Source organism: Homo sapiens, chromosome 6, assembly GCF_000001405.40.
Source record: "Homo sapiens chromosome 6, GRCh38.p14 Primary Assembly".
NCBI classification, from domain to species: domain Eukaryota; kingdom Metazoa; phylum Chordata; class Mammalia; order Primates; family Hominidae; genus Homo; species Homo sapiens.
The window spans coordinates 40,886,952-40,911,494 of record NC_000006.12 but is presented as its reverse complement, the minus strand read 5'-3'; the positions used below and the strand labels follow the sequence as shown (position 1 = coordinate 40,911,494).

The 24,543-nt window shown below is 44.8% G+C and overlaps 1 long non-coding RNA gene across 1 annotated transcript in view, besides 2 other annotated features; it reads left to right on the top strand.

The window, feature by feature from the left end:
* The window catches only part of LOC101929555 (uncharacterized), a 144,395-nt gene that overhangs the window by 111,786 nt on the left and 8,066 nt on the right, over positions 1 to 24,543 (top strand). The window contains exons 2-4 of the long non-coding RNA NR_110873.1: positions 8,797 to 8,894; positions 22,080 to 22,275; positions 24,107 to 24,271. This is a non-coding gene — a long non-coding RNA (uncharacterized LOC101929555). The remainder of the gene's footprint in view (positions 1 to 8,796; positions 8,895 to 22,079; positions 22,276 to 24,106; positions 24,272 to 24,543) is intronic.
* Positions 10,972 to 11,482: an enhancer, noted in NCBI's record as "OCT4-NANOG-H3K4me1 hESC enhancer chr6:40867752-40868262 (GRCh37/hg19 assembly coordinates)". NCBI's record gives its function as "activates a minimal SCP1, AML or CMV promoter by ChIP-STARR-seq in naive H9 embryonic stem cells {active_cell/tissue: H9 hESC(naive)}" and the evidence as "EXISTENCE:reporter gene assay evidence [ECO:0000049][PMID:30033119]".
* Positions 11,483 to 11,994: an enhancer, noted in NCBI's record as "OCT4-NANOG-H3K4me1 hESC enhancer chr6:40867240-40867751 (GRCh37/hg19 assembly coordinates)". NCBI's record gives its function as "activates a minimal SCP1, AML or CMV promoter by ChIP-STARR-seq in naive H9 embryonic stem cells {active_cell/tissue: H9 hESC(naive)}" and the evidence as "EXISTENCE:reporter gene assay evidence [ECO:0000049][PMID:30033119]".

Here is a 24,543-nt window from a genome sequence, read left to right as displayed (position 1 = left end):
CAAACAGCTAAACAGATGAAAGCTTCATATTTCTTTTGGGTGGATTCCTGGTTGTGCAGTGACCTCTGGGAGGAGAAGTCAAGGAGTTTGGGGCTTGGAGGAAGGGCCAAGAGGGACAGGGGTTTTTGTCCTTTGCCAATATGGCCCTCCTTCCTCTCTGTGTTCTCTCATCTTTTGGCTTGTAGTTCAGGACCTGCCTGCATCCCCTGCTCTGGTTTCTAAGCAATAGCTGGTGACTTCTTCCCAACATTTGAACTTGCCTTCACAGTGCCCCCAGTCCTTAGGGTGGCTAGTTAGCAGATGCCTGACTAAGCATTATTAATATCCAGGCCCTGTGGCTGCCTCGGGGGTTCACAATAGGAGCTCACAGGCTAATGAAGAGGCGATTGCAAGGCAGTCTGAAAAGTGCTATAACAAAAGCATAGGGTGTGTATGGCATTGAGGAAGGGTTGTCAGTCATGGCAGTTCACAGAGAAGGTAAACAATTAGGTGTGTATATTATAGAGGTGAGCCACAAAGGGTCAGAAATGATCAGGAGAGACAAGTGCAAGCAGGGGACATGACAGATGCAGGAATGCATGACTATAGGCTCCTTGAAGGCAGCGAGGGCTCATGCATTTATCGATACTGTATTCCTGGTGACTATCTCAGCTCTCACATGTAGAAGTGCTTATGTGGATGTGAATAATGAATACATGAAAAAAAGTGATGGTATATTGGTTAGAAAGCTATCAGTTGCAAGTAATAAAAAAACTCTTAAACATCAAACAGAGAGGGAAGATATTAGTCACATAACAAAGAGAGAGTAGGTGGTAGGATTCTGCCTCCACCTCTTTACAGCAGTTTTAGGCCACACATTCTAACACAGTGATGTCCAAAGGCAGAAATAGGGCTGTCTTTAATGGGATCTTTATCTTAAGGGCAAGAATTCTCATAAGGGCTCCAGTGGAACTTCTCTCAGGTCTCAGTGGCCCCATGCTTAGCTGTAATTCAATCACTGGCAAGAAGAATAGGGTAGCCCTGATTCACTAAGACCAATAACTGGAGCTTAGATGTTGTGTCATCCACTGAAATGAGAAAGGCTGGAAGTGACTCTATAAAGAGATTCTGGGACCTTTAATTTAACTTCATCTTACTCTTTAAAAGAGATTGCTGTGGTCACTGAAGTATAATTTCAATTGCTTTAGATTATTCTTTTAAAAGCAGAACTTCTAAATTTTTTAGAATTTGAGCTTTTGTAAAATCTTCAACAATTGTGTCACTATTGACATTTATAGGGATATATTTGAATAATAAATGGATAAAGCTTTCTGCAAATTATTTTCTGAGAAGGCAATAGGTAAACTTGGTAAAAAAAAAAATGAAGATACAAGGAGATTTACCATGAGAAACAACTCTGCTCCCATCCCTGTCCTCCCTCCAACCCTTGACCTCCCCAGAGCCAGTCACTACTAAGGATTTCTTGCGTGGGCTTCCAGAAATACTATATGCATGTTCAAACATGTATGCATTCATATTCACCACTTCAGTACTAAACAAACAGTACACACTCTACTTTACCTTGCCTTTACACTTGGATGCCACTTTAAAATGGACATTCCTAGCTTTTATATTTTGCCTGAGGTGGTAAACTATTAATTCTAAATGGACTGTGAAAAAATGTCCATGTATATTACACTTTATAGAGAAACCATTAAAAATAATATGAAGAGAGATAGCTAAAAAGTTAAAAGGTATATTAAAATATAATACTAAAAATATTCAAATAATGCAAGAGAAGGCAGGAAAGGGGAAACAGGAGCAAGAAACAGAGAGGGAAAACTAATGAAACGATAGATCTAAATTCAATCATGTCAGTTAAATTACATAAAATCGCATGAAATATAAATGGTCTTAACACACCGAGAGTGTCAGAGTGGAAAATAACAACAAAACAACATCCCACCTCTATGTTGTCTATGAGACAGACTTTAAATATAAAAATACAAATAGGTTTAGTTTAAAAGTAAATAATGGAGAATATGTACCATTCAAACAGTAATCAAGAGATAACTGAAGTGATATAAAGTGGTGTGGCCAATATGGAAAAAGTCTGGTGGTTCTATTTAAAATAGAATTATTATACAATCCAGCAATTTGACTTCTGGGTATAGATCCAAAAGAATTGAAAACCAGTTCCCAAGAGATATTTGTACCCTCATGTTCACAGCGTTATGTACAACAGCCAAGAGGTACAAGCAACCCAAATGTGCATAGACAGCTGGATAGATACATGAAATATGGCCTAGCCACACAATGGAATATTATTCAGCCTTAAAAAGGAGGGGAATTCTGACACATGCTACAACATGGTTGACTCTTGAGGAAATTATGCTAACTGAAATCAGCCAGTCAAAAAAGACAAATACAGTATAATTCCATTTGTATACAGTATCTAGAATGGTCAAATTTATAGAGGAAGAAAGTAGGATGGTTGTTGACAGGGGCTGTGGGGAGAAGAAAATGGGTGAAATGTTGCTTAATGAGTACAGAGTTTCAGTTTTGCGAGATAAAAACATTCTGGAGATTGGTTGCCCAACTATGTGAATATACTTAACACCACTAAACATCACTGAACACTTAAAAGTGACTAAGGTGGTAAATTTTATGTTATGTGTAGTTTACCATAATTTAAAAACATAGTTGAAGTGGTTAGATTAATGTCAGAAAAGATAGATTTCATAACATGGAAAGTTACAAGGGAAAAGAAGAATACTACAGAAGAGCAAAAGGGTCAATTCACCAAAAGACATTACAATTCTAAACATATACGCATCCTACCATAAAACTTGAAAATAAATAAAGGAAGAATTGACAGAACTGGAGGATGAAACAGAAAACATGCTATCATAGTTGGAGACTCCGGCATGCCTCTCTCAGTGATTGATACAACTAGATGTAAAATCAATAAGGTTATGGAAGACCTAAACAACTCGAGTAACCAATTTGACCTAATGAACATTTTTAGAAAAAGTCCATAGCAGAATACATATTCTTTTTAAAGGTGACATTCTGAGTGTACAGCAAGTCCTTCCAGCCTTTCTTTCTTCTTTAGTTCTTCGTTCATGTAATTGTTTCTCTCTTCCTGTCTATCTTTCTCTCTCCTCCATCTACTGCTCCCTTTTCCACTTATTTTGTTACTCTCTTCCTTTTCCTCCCATCTCATTTCTTTTTGTCTTTCTCCTACCCTTTAATATATTCTATCTAGTACTAATTTCATAAAATTAGATGCTTACTGTTTTAATTTAAAAAAGAGGTGAATGTTTTCTTTCTGAACAAAAAATAAACAATTTTAAATTAAGTTGATTTTTTGTATGTGAGGTGTTCAGTTGATTTCTCCCCCTAGATCTGGCCCTGACTATCTGCTTTAAATTGCTTTGGAAATTCATAGCAAGACCATTTATGACTGCAGTTGCTGGGAAAGGAAGGCTTCCTGGAGGAGGTAGAATTTGGAGTTGGATAAAGCTTGGATTGATAAGGGTGGTTTAAGGGGAACTTCATTTTAATTTATCTGTCTGTGTTCAAAGCATTGTAAATGATCTGTTTGTCCACATGGCGTCGAATGAAGTGAATGCACAAATGTGGGCACCCATCCCTTCTCCATCTCACAGCTGCTATTTTTGGGGAAGAATCTCTCCTTTCTTAAGTGCCCTTTCCCCTCACTTTTCAGAGCCAGGCCCACTGTAATAACTGTAGGTTTTTCCCTGCTGGAACTCTCCATTTTGCCTAACTGCTTACCATTGTCAGGTATGCAGTTAGCTTTGCCACTTCTCTTGGAGCTGCCAGCTCATTATTTGTTTGTCTCTGGATGCCCTGCGGCTTCTGCTGCTCTGCCTCACTGGCCTTGGATCAGGCTCCTATGCATGACCTGGCAGCGTGCCACCTGCTTCCTGAGGCTCCTGGAGACCTCTTCCTGGCCCTCTGTCTCTCTAAGTGAGGGATACTTTCCTCTTGGACTGGGAGGCTGCTTTTTTAAGCACTTTCTGCTGTCTCATTGTGTGTGCATGTGGATGTTTGCACTTATGGAAGTGTGTGTGTGTCTGCCAGAGGAGGATGTGCTCATGAAATAATAGCCTGACCATGCAGCTTAAATCGACAGCATGTGCTTGGTGGTACAAATGAAGACCCATCTGGAATCTCCATCCCAGCCTACTACTTCTCACAGGGTCAGTCTGTCCTGTGAGTTCCTATATGTTTATCAGGTTCACATAGAATCTGAGCTGTGATTTGCAGGGACCCGGGAGGATCTTCTCTACTCCAAAACTCCTCCTCCACTGGGGCCTGAAGTTTTGCCATTTGGCATTTCTTAATTTGGGTTGAGCATTGCCTTCTAGAGACTCCGTTTTAAAAGTGCAAATACTTCTGGAAGGAGGCACCCAGAGCCAGAAAGATGGAATATTATATGATTAATTTCCTTCACATTTTTACAGACAAGGAAGGAAAGCAATGTGCCGGTGATGTTTCTGAGGTCACTTGGCAAGTACATGGCAGAGCCCTAGTTCATTAGTCATCGCCTTCCTGAATCACAGGGCACCACCTTCACAATGTGCCATAAAGGCATTCACCACAGGCTTCTTTACCTAATGGGGCCATTATTGGGAACATGATGGGCAAGACCAATTGGAACAAAAGGTGCTGATAATGTTGATAAATTTGGACTTTTCCATAACTTAGGGAACTGGTTTTCTGTCTAGACCAGTGCTATTCAATGGAAATATAATGTGAGCCACAAACATGAACCATGTATGCAATAAAAAACTGTCTAGTAGCCACATTAAACAAATAATAGGGAAAAAAGGGCAAAAACAAAGCAGGTAAAATTAATGTTAATAATTTATTAAACTTAACCCAATAGTATAAAAATATTATTTTCACATGCACTCTAAAAATGCACTTTTTAAAAAATTAATGAGATATTTTGCTGTTCTTTTTAACAAGGTCTTTGAAATGCAGGTGTATTTTACACTTAAAGCTCATCTCAATTTGCACTAGCCACATCCAGAGCTCAATAATAGTACATATGACTAGTGACATCTGTACTGAATGGCAGCTCTAAACCATCCCTTTTGGAGGATTTTGTACCTATCCCTCTGACCAAGGCATTGTCTGCACATGCCTTTCTCCTCCAGACCTGATGTTCATAGGCCTGTAGGTACCATAGGAACCATCCAGTCCAAGGACTTCACCTTCTATTCCATGGAATCCTCAGAGATGCAGACAGGGGTGGAGAGTTGGGGAGAGGAAGGGTGCCTGTGGCTTTGCTTCCAGTCATGTGCATTGCTGTTATATGGGTGTCCTGATGAATATCTGCAGATTACCTTACCAAATGTCACCTAAACTAACCCCCACAAAAGAACAAACTGCTTAAACATATCCCTACAGCAAAACCACAAGTTGAACACAGTATCTGTAAGGCAAGCCCAAGTGGATGGTGAGAAATAGCTAAACTGGCATTTTCTTACTCCCATGACAAACCCTTTGTCAGCCATGTGATGAGACTACAACAGCAGTGGTAGGGCCAGCTTCTGCATTTCAAAACTATCAGTAAAGCTATATGAAATGTGAATGTATATCCACTGTCATTAACAAAGAACTTCACCCTAAGAATGGCTTATGGCTTGGTATATTAGTGTGTGATATGTCTAATTTGTTACATATGTTTTATCATGTAGGCAATATATTTGTTTCATAGATGGACACAATTTAGACATACATACAGACTTTGAAAACATTAGTTGGATCAGGTCACTCCTTTGCTCAAAAGCCTGCAATGGCTCCCCACTCCACTCAGGGGAAACCTCAAGGCCTATGATGGCCAGTGGGCCCTAACCCCATTGTGCCTGCCTCACCATGTTTCTGATACCATATCCTCCCACTCTTACTGCCTTTCTCTCTGCTCCAGCCACACTGGCCTTTTTGCTGTTTACCATTTTTATTAAACCCATAACAACAAAATCCATTCAGTTTTGCACATTTTTGAACTTTTTAGAAGTGCAGTCATACTGTACAAATTCTGCCATCTTAATCAATTTCCCTATTCTTAAGATTTATCCATGGTATTTTATGTAGCTATAATTCATCCATTTTTACTACTGTATAGTATTCCAGAATGTAATCGTTCCTCATTTAAAAAGACATCCTCCCACTGTAGCTTCTAGTTGCTTTTTTTCTGTTCAAACTGGCTGGGCCACTATGAACATTTTGTCTTTGGATATGTGTCCTAGGGCTCATGTGCCCACATGCACTTAAGTCATAGGCGTACACATTATCTACATGCCTTTTGTCACTACCTTTATATATGCTTGTCACTAAGTTTGGAATCTCTTCCTCCTCTGCCAAACTCCTGCTGGTATTTTAAGACCAACTCACATGTCACCTTCTTTGAGAAAGCTTCCTCTCTATGTCTTGAAACTTATTATTTGTCAAAAGATACAATTTCAACAAATTGAGTTTAAAGGTGTAATTGGCTTTTATTAGCAATTCATGAATCAGGCAGCATCCCTTCTGGAAAATAGATATCAGCTCTGATGACCTGAGTAGAGGCAGTTGGCTTTACAAGCAGAAAATGCTGAAGAAACCAAAACCGAGGAACAAAAAGCAGACTGGTCATTTCAAAGTTACAGAGTTCACAGAGAGGACTTCCTTATCATGCCTGCTCAAGTAGACTGCCTGGTGCTGTAAATCTCCTTCCTTTCCTTTCTTTTCTTCTCTTTTCTCTTCTCTTCTCTCTTCTCTTCTTTTTTCTTCCTACCAGCTCATCTTAAAGGTATGTTTGATTTTGCGGTACCTAGCATGAGTGGTTCCATTGTGATTTGGTCTGGTCTCTTGAGGCTTACTGCAGGAGCTCAGTCCAAAACAATGGCCATCCATACATTTTAGCACTTGTATGTGATGCATCCTAGTATACCTCTCTCTCACTCTGTACATTAAGTGTAGTGGCATTTCTCTTAAGTAACCTCTGCTGCTATTATTCCATTTAGGCTGCTGTAACAAAATACCATAGATTGGGTGGCTTACAAGCAACAGAGATTTATTTCTCACAACCTGGAGGCTGGGAAGTCCAAGATCAAGGTGGCAGCAGATTCAGTGTCTGGTGAGGTCCTACTTTCTGGATCATAGATGGTGCCTTCCTGCTGTATTCTCACAGAGGGAAGGGGTGAGGGGGTTTCTCTTGAGCCTCTCTTATAAGATCATGAATCCCATTCATGAGGGCTCTGGCCCCATAACCTAATCACTTCCAAAAGCCCCACATCCTAGTACCATCACTTAAAGGGGTTAGGATTTCAACATATGAATCTGGGGGGACAAACATATATACCATAGCATCTACTTAAAGCCCAAACTTCTGGCATAAGGCAAGCTCTCTGCTCACCCTGTGATGCATGCTAATCAATGTCTGAGGCCCAGTGAACCCTTACAGTCGACCGGCTTCTAGCTATCACTTCTGCTCTTACCTATTGAGTTAGACACAAACCATGAGCTCCCAAACCTGCCTAGCCTAATTCTACCTGTTATAGTAGTTGCATGATCTAACTGAGTGTGGCACGGACCAATGAAGTACAGGGGAAAAAGAGTGAGAGTTGTTTTTATACAACCTAAAAGTTGAATGCTTCAGGAAGACACATGGAAAAGCTGATGCATGAAGGAGTTTGAGCAAGCTCATTTTCATGAGATGCTATTGTGTGGTCACATGTGTATCTCCTCAAGACTGAACTCAAAGACAGAGACCATGGTGGCCCCATCTTTGTGCCTCATGTTCCAACCAACAGCCTGAGACGAGTAGGAGTTGATGAATGGATGTTGATTAAGAAATGAATGAATAAGTCAATGTTGAGATTTTCAAAGGGAAAAAAGGCTCCCTAAATGTGAGTCATGAAATCAAACTGCTGGAAAATTAGGTGTGGGTGGAACAACTGTAAAATATTAGAAAACAGCCTGCAAAAATCTCAAGATATTCTGCACTTGAATTGCATTAGCAAGTGTCCTTAAATTCTCACTCCAATTTAAATAAAAAGAAATAGGCAACTCATAGTCTACACATCATGGATGTTGTTTATGAATGAAAGAGGACATGGAAATTCAACTAGCAGACCCACAACCAAAGAAAAGATCTTGGCCTTTTAAGGAACAGGTGAATTAGTACGTGTGTGCGTGTGTTTGTGTATATATATTTTTTAAGTTGAAAAAATGTTGAAGGGGTATATGTTAGTAGAATCACAGCAGGAAAAAAATTACATGCTCAAATTAGATACTTTGAAGAGGGTTTAATAAAATAAAAGGATTGTTTATAAAACTGTAGGTAGAAATTAGGAAAACCACAGGATAGGACCTCAAGTTGGGGGAATGCAGAAGGGCTCCTGACAGCAGCTGAGCTTCGGGATGAGGGAGGCAGCCAGTGTGCCAAGGTGCTGCAGGGGGGAAACAGGGAATTAAATGCCCTGGCCTCTCCCTTCTTTCTTCCTGCAAGCTTCTACCAGTGTCTCCTATTGGACAAACCCATCAAGAAGGAAGAAGGAACAGGAGTCCGTTGATACAGTCCACAGAGTTGAAACCCCCAGTGTAGAGAGCAGACAGAGGGTGGAGGAGAGGGGATTGGGGGCAAGTGGAAGTTGTCCAGCATGGTAGGAATTTTTATGATTCTCCATTTTGATATTTTCAATTTTCTGGCAAACTTTGAGTTTTAAGTCCTGCCAGATTCAAGGGCTTCTACTTTGTTATTTTTTGTTTTTTGACACAGAGTCTTGTTCTGTCACCCAGGTTGGAGTGCAGTGGTGTGAATATGGTTTACTGAGGCCTCAATCTCCTGGGTTCAAGTGATCTTCATATCTCAGCCTTCTGAGTAGCTGGGGCTACAGGTATGTGCCACCACACCCGGCTAATTTATTTTATTTTATTGTAAAGGCAAGGTCTTTCTATGTTTCCCAGGCTGGTCTCAAACTCGTGGGCTCAAGTGATCCTCCTGCCTTGGCCTCCCAAAGTGCTGCGATTACAGGTGTGAGCCACTGCACCTGGCCTCTACTTTATTTGTTTTCATATTTATCTGTTCCACTAGACTGTGACTATCTAGAGGCAGGGACTCTATCCTGAGCATCTTTGGATCTCCAAGCCTGGCTCAGGGCTTGGCATGAGGAAGAAACTCAATAATTAGTTGAATAAATACTGAATACATTGTAAGAAAAATTATTTGTCAAAAAAAATCAGTAACCTACTACTTACTTATTCATTTAGGAAATACTTGTTGAGTCCCTACAAGATGCTGGATGCTGTTCTAAACAGAGGATACAGTGGTAACCACAAGGCTACAGTCTATTGGGGAAGGCAGCCAACAAATGCTTTCACTCATTCGACATTTATTGAACAACAACAATGTGCCAGACACTGTCCTAGATTCTGGGGGTTCAATAATGAACAAGATAAAGCCACTGCCCTCACTGAACTTACATTTGAGTGAGCATGTTTTGCCCTTAAGTAGCCATCTTTAAAGCTGAAGGTAAGCACAGGGGCACCAGTTTTTTTAGAAAGCAAAGCAGGTCTGTGGCTCCTGATAGATGAGAGGCAAGCAGGATGCCACTTTAGGTCATGGAAAGACAATCCCCTGAGCTGATTGGAAGCCAGAACTTGGAGTGAATGTCCTTATGGGTCAAGGGTGTCTTTGCTAACCACATCTGAAGCCCTTGGCATCGGGGGATTGGGATGGGTCCCAAGTAAGAAAATCTGAGCTTTTCACACTTCTCCAATGACAAAGTCTTACACACAGTAGGTCACTTAATTTCTGTGGGATTAAGTGACTCTTACCAGTCATTTATCAAGATGTGGGCTCCTAGAAATGGAGCTTGAGAGATGAAGGGCTAGATGGAGCCCAGTGGAGCTCTGGCAGAAGAAGGGGGATAACATTGCCTTGTTTAGATGCTCTGGATTTTTTTAGAGCATGTGTCATTGGCTCTGCATGCTGGAACCAGCCTTTTCTGGGAAGCTAAAGGGTAGACTGAACCCAGCATTGTATCATATTAATATTCCCCATTCTCCTAAGCTTTGGGAGTCTGTATTCCTCTTATGTGTAAGTACCAAATTGCAGGGGAAATGGTATTTCTCTGCATAGAAGGAAGTACCTTCCATGGGATTTTCCAGGGATGGAAGGCTGGATTCCAGGTCTGCATTTCTCCCACGTTGGTGTGAGGCCTTCAGGACTCAAATGAATGAAGTAATCTCTTAGTGTCCCTTTCAACCTCGCCATTCTCTCTTTTGAGACATTTCTCTCATTCCCAGGACTTTGGCCATTGCAGTTGGGCTGCTCCTTCTCTCTCGTGCATCTTTGGCCACCAAAGAAGCTGCTGTGAATCAGTAGGATTGGTTTTAAGCACTGGCGTTTGGAGACAGCTGCTTACTCAGTGTGATTTTGCAGGCTCAGGGAAGGGACTTTCCTCCCTACGCAAGTCCCAAAATACCTCCTTTATCAGTCTTTTGGTGTTTGGGACTGCTTTACTGTGGACAAAGCCTTTCATTCCACAATGAAGGATCAAAAATAGAAATGAATGCACATGTGTTTGGCATTGCCCATAACAAGCTGTTCTTGGCCTTCATGCTGTTGCTCGTGCTGTGCCCTCTGCCAGGAATATCCTCCCCATGCCCTCGTTTCCCTTATACTGATCCTTTAAGAGTCAGTTTAAGCATTTCTTACCCTAGAGGATGCCGTAATTGGTTTCTCTTGATTGCAAGAAACAGAGTTACTCAGAGTAGATCAAATAAAGGCTGGTTGAGTGGGGTTGTGACACTCGGAACATGAACCCCAGGATGAAGATGAGGAGGGGACCTAACTCTCTGCTTCGACAGTCTGTCTCCCCTAAATAGACTTTCATATCTTGAAAGTAGGGGCTATGTCTTACTCGTTTTTGAAAGCTCAGACCTAGCACAAAGCCCACCTCTTAATAGATGTTTGTTGAATAAATGAATGAATGAATGAATAATTGAATCCTAAGTATGGATAGAAGATGTGGGTTCTGTCTTTTAGAAATTTATAGTCTAGTTGGGAACTAGAAAATAGGTAAAAACCTAAGTAAACAATGGTTAAAAACTGGTACAAAGCTTGCAAGACAAACACATTAAAGGCATCTTGGGGGGATGAGATTTAGTTAGCAGATAGCCCTGAGAAAGACTTCAGTTCATACTCACATGCAATTGACTAAGATGTTTCTGAGTGCAGAACACAGACTTTTAGTTGAGAAATTGAAGTGAACATTGAACTAATGTATAATTTCCTAAAGGGTCCCACAAAGGATGACTAGGGACAGTAAAAGGGAGCCAGGGAAGCCTCAGAGTAGGACTCAGAGGTCCTTATTACTTGGCCAATGGTTGGCCTGCCCCATCAGGTGCCTTAGAGCCCACGCCAATGCCCCTGGACTCATGAGTGACCCCCGTGGCCTTATCTGAGTGGCTGATCTGACAGAGCAAGGTGTGTGCTTTGCGCCTGCTGAGTTACTGCCAGCTGCCTGTGGTGGATAAACAGGCAGGCCTCTGGGCGGCCCTCAGGACTCTATAGTGAACAAAGAAAGTCGTTCAGATGTTTTCAGATTGTATTGAGTTAAATCAAAGGCCAAGAGAGCAGAGGTCTTTGCAGTTCTTTGTTGTAGAGGGTGGCCCCTGGGCGAGTCCCTTATCATACTCTCTTCTATTTAGATGTGTTTCTTTGAACCTTCCCGCAGAAAGTGATGCCCTTTGACAGGCTCCCTCAGCTTGCCAAGGATAAGCAGTGTGCAGTTGTGAGGGATTCCCAGGGTCTCTTCTCCCATAACATTTATTGTCAGTCCTGCCTACCTGAAACTTCATCTTTTCTTGTACTCAAAATAGAGAAAGTGGGTGCCTAAGTGAACCCACTGAGCCCAGCCCCCTCAATGAGGAAACTGAGGCTCAAGAAAATGAAACTTTCTTCATATTCATGTAGTGCTTTGAGTTCATCCTGTTTTGCCACATATGCTCACGTGGTTTTCCATTTCCTTCATTAAACAGCCCTTTATGAAGGGCCTACTGTGTGCCAGGCACCGTTTAGGCATTGGATGGGTGTATGGGTTTGGCTGCAAGTTACAATACTCAGCCAGTAGTGGCCTAAACTCTTACCAGAAAGGGGTCCCAATCCAGACCCCCAAGAGAGGGTTCTTGGATCTCGTGCAAGAAAGAATTCGAGGCAAATCCACAGAGTAAAGTGAAAGCAAGTTTAATAAGAAAGTAAAGGAATAAAGAATGGCTACTCCATAGGCAGAACAGCCCTGAGGACTGTTGGTTGCCCATTTTTATGGTTATTTCTTGATTATATGCTACCAAGGGGTGGATTATTGATGCGTCCCCTTTTTACACCATATAGGGTAACTTCCTGATGTTGCCTTGGCATTTGTAAACTGTCATGGCACTGGTAGGAGTATAGCATTGAGGATGACCAGAGGTCACTCTCATCGCCATCTTGGTTTTGGTGGGTTTTAGCCAGCTTCTTTACTGCAGCCTGTTTTATCAGCAAGGTCTTTATTACCTGTATTTGTGCTGACCTCCTATCTCATCCTGTGACTTAGAGTGCCTAACTGTCTGGGAATGCTGCCCGGTAGGCCTCAGCCTTATTTTACCCAGCCTCTATTCAAGATGGAGTTGCTCCAGTTTAAACACCTCTGACAAAACAATGCAGGCATTCATTATCTCATCTAAAATAAGAAAGAAGTCCAGGGCTGTGGTCCTTAGAGGCTGTAGGGTCCACAGCTCAGCAGTGCCATCAAGAACCATTCTTGGTGGGTCAGTGATATCTCCCCTCAGATGGCAAGATGGCCATCATAGCCCCCAACAACATCCTAATGCTCAAAGACAGAAGCAAGACAGAACAGGGACCTTCACTTTGCTCTTTTTTTTTTTTTTCCATAGGGGAAGAACACCTTTCCTAGAAGTGCCCAGGTGCCTTCTTATTATAACCCAGTGACCATATCTGGATCACATGCCTGTTTCTAGACCAGTCACAGGCAAACCAGAATGGGATGCCATAAATGGCTGCCTTGGGCCAATTGTGATGTGCTGTTCATGGGAAAAGCAGTGAGTCTATCATGTCCACTAAGAGCACAGGCTCTGGAGCCCGATGGCCACAGTTCAAATCATGGCTCCATCACTTCTGATTTATATAACCCTGGGCAAGGAGCTTAACCTTTTGTTCCTCAGTTTTCCCATCTGTAAAATGGTGATAATGATACTTCACAGGTTGATGTAAGGATTAAATGTTTAATGTACATAAGGTGCTTAGCACAGTACTTGGCTCACAGTAAAGGTTAACTACTAATTATCTATTGTATATTTCAAAGGAGCTAGAAGACAGCAATTCAAATGTTTCTAGCATGAAGAAAAGACAAATATTTAAGGCAATATATATCCTGAGTATGATGATTTGATCTTTACAAGTTATTCAAATGTGTTAAATGATCACATGTATCCCCAATGTATGTACAACTATTATGTATCAATAAAAAATAAAATTTCAAAAAGTTAAAAAAAATAACGATCATCCTCAAGACTGAGCAATTTCTTGCCTGAATAAAATCAGGAAAAGGTCCTAGGTTTTGGATGGACAACTCCAGTGCCTGCCATGTGCGGTTGCCCTCCGGTTCACAGACAAGTAAACAAGCAATGTTGAAATCTTGTGCCATGGTACTAGATACTGTGCGCCGCCCCCCTCAACAGGAGGGGTGCCTGGTCCAGACTTGGGGGATGTCAGAGAAGGCTTCTCAGAGGAGGTGGCACTGATGTAGGTTTTCAAAATATATAGCAGTGGCTCGGCAAAGGCAGAGTGTGGGTGGGTGGGAAAGGAAGGTTCTCCAGGCAGAGGCAGCAGTGGGCCTAGAGACACTGGAGCGTGGTGCTCTGTGGTCTATGTAGGACAAGTACACACAATTGATTGTGCCCAGAGAGTGAAGTGAGAACCTGGGGTGGCTCTAGACGTATGTGCTGCCAGGCTGGGGCGGGCTTGGATATCGAGCTAAGGGGTTTGTGTCTTTTCCCACAGGCTATGAATTTTGAGCTGAAGGTAGCCCTAGATTTTTATTTTTGGTCAGTGACTCAGGCTGCAATGAGAAGGGTGGATGGGGGGCGGTGGGACCCATGTAGGAGGCTACAGCAATATTCAAGGGGACTAGGGCAACAGCCTGAACTAGGGCAGGTACTGGAGGGCTGGATAGAGAGAGAGAGAGACCAAGCAAGAAAGTAAGAAAGTGGGATGGGAAAGGGGGGAAATAAATACAGGCAGGAGGATGGAGAGAAATGGAGGATGGTGCATTCAAATTTGGCCAAGTTGGATCTAGGGGCAGCTGGAGATGTCAGCAGGCCCTCACATGCACAGAGTCTGAAGCCAGGAGAGAGACCTGGGCTGAAGACAGCAGGTGCAGAGGTTATCATCATGGAGGAAGTAGATAATAGACAAATACTTGCGATAGATGAAATTGTCCCGGGAAAATAGAAATAAGAGCAACAACCCTGCAGCTCTGAGCATGGTTTGGATTTTGCCAAAATGTTCTGTTTTGTTTGGACGCTTTATCAGGCTGGGTATGGTTCAAGGCCTGTAGCCAGGCAAAGGTTTTGTTTGGTTGCTGTACAAGCAGCTATTGTTTAATGCTCAGCCTGCTGGGTGAATTTCTGCACACTGCTTGTGGTTATTCAAATCTCTAAGCCCTGATGTGGGGGGAGAAGAGAGGTAGGTTGAAGGTGGATCCCTATAGAACACCAGCATTAACAGGGCAGCTTGAGGAGGAGATCAAAGGGAACATTAGGGAGGTGGGAAGGAACACACGAGAATGTCCCAGGACCCAAGGGAGGTCATGGAGTGCACTTCATGTGTTAGTCTCTTCAAATGGACTGAGGATCCTAGCAGACGTATTACATATTTCTCTTCTTCCCAGCAGAGTCCCACTGTCAGCTATTTGGTATATTAAATTATATTGAGAATCTATATTAACTTATAGTAAGAATCAAGATCCACAGTAGAGAGGATGGGGAAGCAGTTTATCTTCCTGACCATCCCCTGTGGGTGGGGTTGATGCCACAGGTTCTGGGCCACACAGAGCTGAGATTGAGAACTGGCTGTCTGTGTGATGTTGGGCAGCTTACTCAGTGACTCTGGGCCTCAGCTACCCAATCCATCAAACAGAGATACTAACACCTACCCTAAGGATGTTCAGACAATTACATGAGATACTGCATGCGAACATTCAGCATATATGAATCCTGTCCAGTAGCAAGTGCTTGCTAACTGGTAATCACTATCGCCCTGAGGTCCTTTTCTAGCACCCAGCTCAAGATTGGAGCTCTAGCATCATGTTTTGAAGGAAGAAGGGAAAATAATTTTGCTAGTGAAAAAAAACCTGGAGGAGCATGGGCTTGCCAAGAGTTAAGGGAGCAAGCATAGACCAGGGTGTGAAAGATAAGCAGAGAGCTATCTTGGGAAGAGCTCCGTTAGGACTCTCAACAAAGGCAACATCACAGAAACAAAAGCAAAAGGATTCTCAATGAAGAACAGACTGGCCACAGGAAGCTGGTTATAGAGAGATCCAAAATGGAGGCGGAAACTAGTATGAAGAACTCCAAGTCTGGGTCCTACAACTATTCTGTATCTTTGCTGTTTCTTAGCAATTCAAATGTTTCTAGCATGAAGAAATGACAAATATTTTGTCATTTTGTCTTTGTGGAGTCTGCTCTGCCTCCTTGACCATTCTGTCATGTTTATGTAATTAGCATGGTAGAAAGAACATGCATATTGGAGTCAGAGAACTCTGGGTTTGAGTCCCTGCTTTATCACTTACCCACCTGTGTGATCCTGTCAAAGTTATTTAACTCCCTGTGCCTCAGTTTCCTCATCTGTAAAATGGGCTAACTCACTTCAGCCAGTTACTATGTGGTGTAAATGAGATTAGTGTGCATAAACTGGCTGGCACAATGCTGACGCATAGTAGGCACTCAGTAATTATTTTTGCCTCGTTTTTCCTTGTGCCGTAAGTAAGGAAGTTTCTATTGCCCTTGAGAAGAAGGTCTTAAAAGCATATTTTGTCCTGTCCGGAAAACCCGTTCTGAGGATGGAAAATTTTGCTGATGAGTGAACTTGGAAGGATCATGTTTCCAGGGTCAGGGCAGAAAGGAAGAGGCCCAAGCCCTGGGGAAGGAATGGCATCAGGGCACAGCTTTGTGGTGGTGACCCACAACCGCGGGCCCAGCAGGCCCTGTGGAACTCCCACATTGACTTCCCTATCTATGAAACAGTGCCAGTAACTCAGTCTCAATGCTTCCTTCCCCTTCCCTGTCCCCTGAGGATCCCGGGACTGTGAACTCCAGTTGTGGCGGCTCCGTAGCACCTCCTCTGCTGCCTCCCAGAGGTCACTTCCAGGATGGCCGTCCCAGAGGAGCCCTCCTTCCAAGATACAAATGGCCTTGGCCCCGCTTCACCTGACCCAAAGGCCGATTAAGAGGTCTGTGGGGGTCCGGAGGGATATCTCTCAAAGGGCCCCTCCCACCGCCCAATATATCGTAACTCACAATTGTACAGCACTTGGAAGTTGTCAAAAACGCTTTTGCATTCCCCATAATGTAGGCAGGGAAGCTATTTTACAGAAAAGGGAAATGGAGCCTCAGAGAAGAGACCTGCTTCTGACAGCATGGCTAATAAATGTTGGAACCAGGACTTGAACCCAGGAACTCCCAGCCCAGGGACATTCTGTTTTATAAATACGGAGGGCACAACGTTCCATCCCTTTGACTTGTAATTAGTGGGTGTTGTATGTATGGTTATGAGCTTTACCCATATTTTTTGGTGCTAGGAGGGAATCTGTCTTCCTTCCCCACTACTCTTCCTCTCCCACACCACTGTTTCCTTGAGTCTTTAAAAGGTGTCCTGAAGTACAGAACTCCACCCCCCATCTCCTGGAGGGCCTCACTGACCCACCTGTGGTTGCCTCTAACACCCAGGCTTGAGGAGTGAAGCCATTTCCCAACCTGCTAATGGCACTGCTGGGAGCTCAAGAAAGCTATGCTTTCAGGTGACGCATTGTCATGCCGGTCTACACGAACATCTCTGTCCCCTGTAACAGCATCTGCCATAGCAGCAGCCCAGCTCAAATGGCAGGCAAAAAAACTTGTCTGGTGCATTCCATTAGAGAGCAGGAAGTTACCAGCATTGATTGAAATTCTCAGGTAGAGTGAGTACCAGGTGGCATTTGAAGAGGATAATTTAATTCAATAGTTTATATTCCACTTAAGTTCCTCCTCTATCTGACTGCTAGTAAACAGCTGTAAACCGCCTCAGCTGTCTTAGAGGTGAAGAGGAAACACAGTCTAGAAAGTAAAATGGTGATAGCAGGACAGAATCTCAAGAGACCAAAAACCCCTGGGAAAATAGGCATAGGTGGCCTGGTGTGTGAAGGGTGGGTGTAGGTGCAGGAGGCCCCATTCCCTCCTGGGCCCCCACTGTGCAATCATGAGCTCACAATCAATGATCACTGACGGTTCCTCCTGCTCTGAACTCCACACTGTTACTGGGGAGCTCAGTGGAGTGGGGAAGGAAGCTGAGAATGTGGATTCAGAAAACCAGAGCTCAAACCTGGTCTTGGCTCTTACTTCTTGCAGGACCTTTGGGGCAATCCACACTGTCTGTCTCCCTCCAGGGTGCAATGAGAGGCAAAAGAAAGAACGTATATGACAGCGTCTTATGCCCGAGAGGGCCAGTTGGATGTTAGTAGTTACTGTTGCATCGTTATTGGAACAGAGAAGCCCCCAAAGGCCTGCTTCCCATCGTTCTCCTTGCCCAAGGGCTGGGAATCCTGCAGGAGGGCCAGATCTGTGCTCAATCCAGGCAGGCAGTCACCCTATGATTTGAAAACTGTCCAAACTATGCCCGGCCCAGCAAAGCTTGCCTCCGCATAATGGACCTGTTGAAGCATGGTAGTCTGTTGCCTTAAAAGGGTAATGGTGACATTTTCTCAGCCCCTGACACCTAAGCCTCCTTCCCTTCCCTGATTGGTTGGTTGGCTCTCACCTTAGGAAGCAGAGAGGAGACCCCTGAAACGGGTGGGACTAGGATGGGTGAAATGTAATCATCTTGACCATCCTCAATTCACTTTCTCCTGTGTTCCTGGCACTGTTCTGGGGTGGGGTCACAAAGCAGCACTCATGTCATCTCTCCATTTATTCCTCCATTGGTTCGGCAGGCACTGTGAGAGCATTGCCTATGGCAGGCGCTGAGGACACAGAGATGAAGGGCGTGGCGGGAGCTCAGGAGCCTGGCATCTGGCTGGTGGGCCCGGCACACACACAAAGGATCTAAGTCCTCCAGTTGGGCTTCCTAGTTCCTCTATAACCAGAAGCGAGGCTGCCTGTGGGCACCTCAGGAATTCTGCCACCATCCAGTTCCTGCTCACTGCTTAAAAAGTCTAAATAATTGGAAAAAAGTGATATGATCTGTTTAATACAACCATCTAGTTAAATGCCACAGAGTTCACCTACTCTTCATTGTCACAGGTAAACTGCGATGTCTTCTTCTGTAACGGTAGCCCTGTGCTGACACAGTCTCGGGTTGCTTTCTGTAAGCGTCATTTGAGTTAAATATGTGAAGAAGTGGGAAGGAGGGGCAGACAGCCTCACTGCAGGGCTGGACCCCCATCCTGAGGATGGCCTGGCAGCCTTGATGATGGTGGCTAGTTGCATGTGTGTGAGCCTCAGCCACATGAGGAAGACGTTTGGAATGAGGGCACGTGAAATGATGGGTCCAGCGTCGCTTTAGGGGTGGGGAGCCATTGCTAAGGGAGGTGGTGAGAGCTGAGTTCAGAGTATCTGAAATATAAACTCTAAGAAAGATCGCTCCTCACCAACCCAGTCTAAGTCAAAACCATCGCACACCGGGACTATTGCACCGGCTTGTGGTCCGTCTCCCTGTTCTTACCCTTGTACCTCACCTTCTGCCGGCTGTGTGTGACCTGACTTGCTTCCCTCCCATTCTTTCCTAGCTCATTCTGCCCCATCCCTGGGCTTCCCTTCACAGATTAAGTGCATCGCAGCCTGCCCTATGCCCTTTGCACCTGCACTTCTGTTGGTCTAGTCTCCCCCTCCCGAACATTAGGGCCCTGCTCAAATGTCACTTCCTCAGACTTCCCCACTTAAAATCAGACCCCAACACCATTATATCCCAGGGCCTAGAAAAATGGCAGGCAAGTAGTAGGGATTGAAGGAATATTTGTGAAGGAATGAACTGCCCTAATTAAAGGGGGTTGGGGAAAGAGACCTCAGGACCCAGGAGCACAAGTTTGGAGAGGAACAGAGGACTTGTGCACCAAGATGTTGCCTGGCTACTCTCTGGGTGCTGAGGGGGAGTGGAGGTCATGGAGAGAGGTGGGGAATGAGAGGTATGGGGTGCCTGGGTCAGCGTGGCTGGCACCCCTGCTCTCCCCAGGGCCCTCCTGGCTGAGGTCATACCCGCTTTCCCAGCTTCCCTTCACGCTTCTTTCATTTCCACCCTACCAGCCGCTCCACAGGACTAATGAATAATGACAGGCCTGTAATTAGACTGACATTGGAGCCTGCGTTGTCCCAGATAGTTGCTCTCCGAGGCGAAGGTCTGGTCTCAGCTCCCAGCTGGCACCTCGGCTTTTCCCTCCACATCCTTGCTCACAGCCTTGACTTCCTGCAAAGTGACTTGCCTCCCAGATCCTGAACAGTCAGATAGGAACCAGATGGGATGTTGGGACATCCTGTGTGGCACAGAATTGGAGAGACATGGAGCTCCTCTCAGCTGGTGCCAGCATGTCAGGCAGAGACAGAATGAGTGAAGAGCCCAGGGCTGGGATCGTGGCACTGTTGCTTCAGCTCCCAGGTCTCAATTTGGTTTTCCATAACCCCTCAAAATGTTGGCCAAGATCAGCCGTTTTGTACTACGCATTTGGAATACTCTGGGAATGCAAGTTATTGAGTTCTGCATGAAACCAGAAGCAGCAAGAAGATTGTGATCATCACCTGGTTGGCAGGTTTTCACCAAGGTCTGTGGACACCTGTGGGGCTTCTGAGGGGAGCAAAGGGCACAGTGCCTAGCACATAGTAGGTGCTCACTCATTATTGACTGACAGACTTGAGAAAGGTCTTAGCATGAAGCACATCTCAGTGGGAGGAAGTGGCCAGGACGTGGGGAGCTGGGACACTTGTGCAGACAGGCCAGGGGGTGGCTCCACCCTGCCCCTTGAAGCCTGCTCTTGTTCCTCCTGGGAATACCTGACAGCAGCAATTAGCAGGAGGTCCTTTAGTGTCCCCCTCTCCACTGCATGCTTCCCCCACTAAGGCAGGGATGGTGCTTCATCTGAGTGACACCTCATTCAAATGGGAATGAGTCCTCAGTCTCATCCAGAGTGGAAGAAGCACTCGTTGTCTCCTGATTCTGCTTTAAGACCATTGCCATCGCTCTGACGAGCCACGATTGTCCTAGCCTCAATGGGGGACATCATGGAGAAGAAGGTGGGCGCAATGAGTCACGCAACAGCAGAGGCTGAGGAGGGGAGCAAGGGCCACCAGAAACCAAGAAGGAACCCCAGAGTGAACCCCACTGAAAGAAAACCAAGAGTCACAGCACAGCATAAGAGAAACTCGTGTCTCGCTGAAGTAATGGGAACTTCAAATGTAGCTCTTCTAGGAGTGGGGATCTGAGCCCCTCCATCAAGCTGGCTCAAACATTCAGCATGTGCATTGATCTCACGTAAGGAGCAGTCCAGAGCAGGGAGGGGCTTCAGGGCCTCACAGCTGAGAGCAGCAAAGGCAGGATTGGAAGCTGGCTAACAGGTCTGGGACCCTGACATGTAGCGGGGAGGCCTGGGCACCTTCCTCAGCTCACCCTGCTCAGCACAAGCCCCTCTGGGCCTCAGTGAGGCAAGGGTGGCATCACAGCCTCTGTGGAGATGGGATGGGGCTGATGGCCTGTGTCCTTAGCTGTAAGGCTGACCATAACAGGGATGTCTGTGGGGGAAGAGGGGAGGCAGCCTTCACAGAGGTCTGGGGTGGATGCAGGGACCAAGTCTTGAAGGGATATCTGGAACAGGAGCAAAGTGAGCTATCGGGAAAATGGGGTTGTGGGGGTAAAGGACCCAGGCCTCAGGGCAGGGCAGATGCCTTATGAACTCAAAGACCACAAAAGAAGGAAAGAAATTTCACAGACAGGGGCAAGTATTTAATATCTACCATCTCTTTAATCCTTAACATAGCCTTGTGAATTGACGGGAGAAAACAGACAGAGAACCGTTAGGTAATTTGTCCAAGATCATTCAACTGGGAAGTAGCAGAGCTGGGATTTGAACCCGTGCCCAGAGCCATTGTTTTTCTACTTGCCAGATTGGCGAGGGTCATGGGGGAAGCTGCTGCTCAGTGGACATGGGTGTATGTGAGACTCACCCCATATGCATTAGATGTCACGGCTGCAGAATTGCTTCCAGACTCCACTGGCTGGCCAGTTGGGAGCCCAGAACTTTGCAGGCTATCTTGACCCAAACTGGTTGAGGGTCTGGATGGGCCAAGGGCAGATGGAAGGTTCTCATCCCTCTGAGCAGGGCTGGCAGAGGTGGCAGGAGCCATCAAGGGTATTAGTCTTTGTTTCAGTAAAGTGGTTTATGCATTTTGTGAGCTTCTCAGCAAAACAATAAAGCAGTTTATGCATTTGTGAGATGCGGATCAGAGGTGGAATTTCCTTTCTTCTCACCACCATGATCCACTTTTTATTTCATTTTTATCCTGAGTGTGTCCTTTCTGTTTCTCAGGCGGCTTCCACAAGCAACACCTAGCCTTTTGGGAGTCCTGGTGTGCTGTCATTGTTTACTTGATTTCTCAACACCTTTCTCCTGCCTGAAGTGCTGCCTAACAAGGATTTTAAAAAATTATATTACTGTGATTTCCCTTGCTCTTTTATTTTCTCTCTTTTAACGTGAAAGGAAATATGTCTTTATGCAATCCCCCCACCTCTCATCTTGGTGGGGTGCTTCTCATCAAGTAACAATCCTCTCACACCCCTGAAGGTGTAACCAGAACAGCTGCAGGTGGGGCCAGGAAGGGCAAGAGTGGATCCCAAGATCCTCCAGGTTGACACGTCACTCCTGAAAACATTCTGCTTTAAACAGAAGCCACTTCGCTGCTCTGACGTGAATTTCTATAACCAAGACATACTCTTCGACCTAGAGAGATCAAGGCATGAAAAAATGGAACTTCTCAAGGGTAAGCTGTGTTTTCAGTAGTAAGCCATTTACTGTTTTACATGTACATTTTAAGGTGTTGCAGGGAAATAAAGCTTCTCTAGCAGCCAGGATGTAAAAGAGCAAAAACTTTGCAAGTAGCTGTAACAGGATTCTCGAGTGTGCTGCCCAGAGCAGAGGAGACTTACAGAGTGGTGAGTTTGGGGGTGAAGGGAAGGGGAAGGCTGATAATTTGTAACAAAGACACTTAAAGAATTTAGGACTTTAACAATTTTACTGTAGTAAAGAATGTATTAGTTAGGGTAGAGGCTAAGCTGCTGTAACAAAGAAACATTCAAAATTCAGTGGGTTAACTTTTCTCTTATGTGGCCATCCAGAGAGAGGCAGCTGGTTCATGGTGGGCCGGTGGCCCAGCTCATAAGGTCATCAAGGGTCACAGACTGCTTCTCTAGATCATTGCCCTTGTCTTCATAGTCCCTGCAGGTTCCTGGCACTGTGTCTGGGTGATATAGAGGTGTCAACACTGAAACATTAGAGGGGTAAGACCCATAAGTTCAGGACATAATTTATCCTTAAATCCCCTGGGAAAGAACTTGGCCCCATAGCCAGCTGCCGGGGGGCCTGGGAAACTCATGCTAGATGAGAGGCCAGAGCTGAAATCTGGGTTCTGTTGGCAAAAAGAAGGGAGCATGCGTACTAGGGGCTGATCTGTAGATTCTACTACAGAAGAAAAAGTCTTCTAATCAATCCCTTACTTTATCTTTAAAAACAACAACAGAAAAACACCCTCTCTCCTTTCCCCTAAAATACGACTTTAAATGAACCACGGCAGTGAATTAAGATGGCCTCAGAAAAAAGAGGTAACTCTTGCCCCTTCAAGCTGATCTCTAAACCCTTGCAGCTGCCTTGCTTGGCGGCACCCCACAGGACTGAGATCTTATTTTTCCCTCCAAGGAAGCAAGAGGAACAATAAATAGCAGTACACAAAACAGCACACATTTTATTCTGCAAAGGCATAGCAATTCTACCTCGAGGCCTCACTGACAAGGCTTTCCAATCTTTCCTGAGACTTAATCCAGAAAATAAATTCAATTTCAGCACTCAGTGGCTGCCTCATGGTGGGCTGTCCGTAAATGGTTGTTTAATAAATGCTCTGGAAACTGGCCATCTGGATAATGTCTGGGGTATCATGGAGGAGGGGGCTGGCTCCCATGAGCACAAATGAGTTTTCTTGTCTTATTTGTGCAGAGAGAATGGAAGGTGTGGCTTTGCTTGCCACATCCAGGCCTTACCAAGCAGCCCTGTCCCCTGGGCCACCCCAATCCGTAGTTGGAATGACAGCTATGTTCACGTGGGGTCGGGGGCACTATCTGTGCAAAGTCTTCTTTTATTTGTTTCTCCATCACTTTAGTAGTTAAAAGTTAGAGGAATTAGTATCACAAACATAGATGTGTACAGTTAATGTTTTGAAAAGAATAACTGGAGACGCCTGCTGGGCTGCAATTCTCAGAAGATTGTTGGTTCAGAGCAAGGAGCTACAGAGACACCAACATTCAGAATTAGGCAGAGAAGCCCAGCTGGTGAGACGCCAGAGAGACAGCCAAGAGCTAGGAGAACATCAGTATCCAAGCGGAGGGCCAGGCAGGCGCTTGTAACCCAGGAAGAGAGGAACCAATGCTGTCTGCAGGAGCCACAGGGGCAGAGCAGGGCCTGCTCAACTGTCCAGACAGGCAGGTCTGTAAGAACGAGGAGAATAACAAAACCAACATTTATATAGCATACAGCGAAGTGCTATTTGTGCATATTGCATTTAAGAGGCTAGTACAAGTCTCATTCATTCCTTTTTTTTGCAGATGAGGAAACAGACTTTGAGAGGTAAAATAACACGACGGAATCTATGCACTACCTGATGGCTGAGCTGGGACTTATCCCCAGGTCCAGTGGCCTCTAGAGCACAGGTGTGTTACTACCACCCCATTCTGCCCAAGTGAAGCAAGCAGCAGAGAAATAATATGCAGGCAAGTATGGCTGGGCTGACTGTGATGAAAAAGGGCTTTGGTGATGGAGGCATCCTTCAGCTTCCTGAGCAAGTGTTGGTTCACAGGCAGGTACAAGAATCACCTGGCAGGAATGGTCAGTGAGGGGACCAACAGAAAGCAGCTGCCACCACCAGTCAGCCTGACTCAGGAGACCCCAGACACTAGTGGACCCCAAAACTTAAGTGCAAAAGTTGTAAGAGAGGAGCTGGCAGAGAATGGATTGGGAGACTGGGACCAGGTGCAGGCTCCCC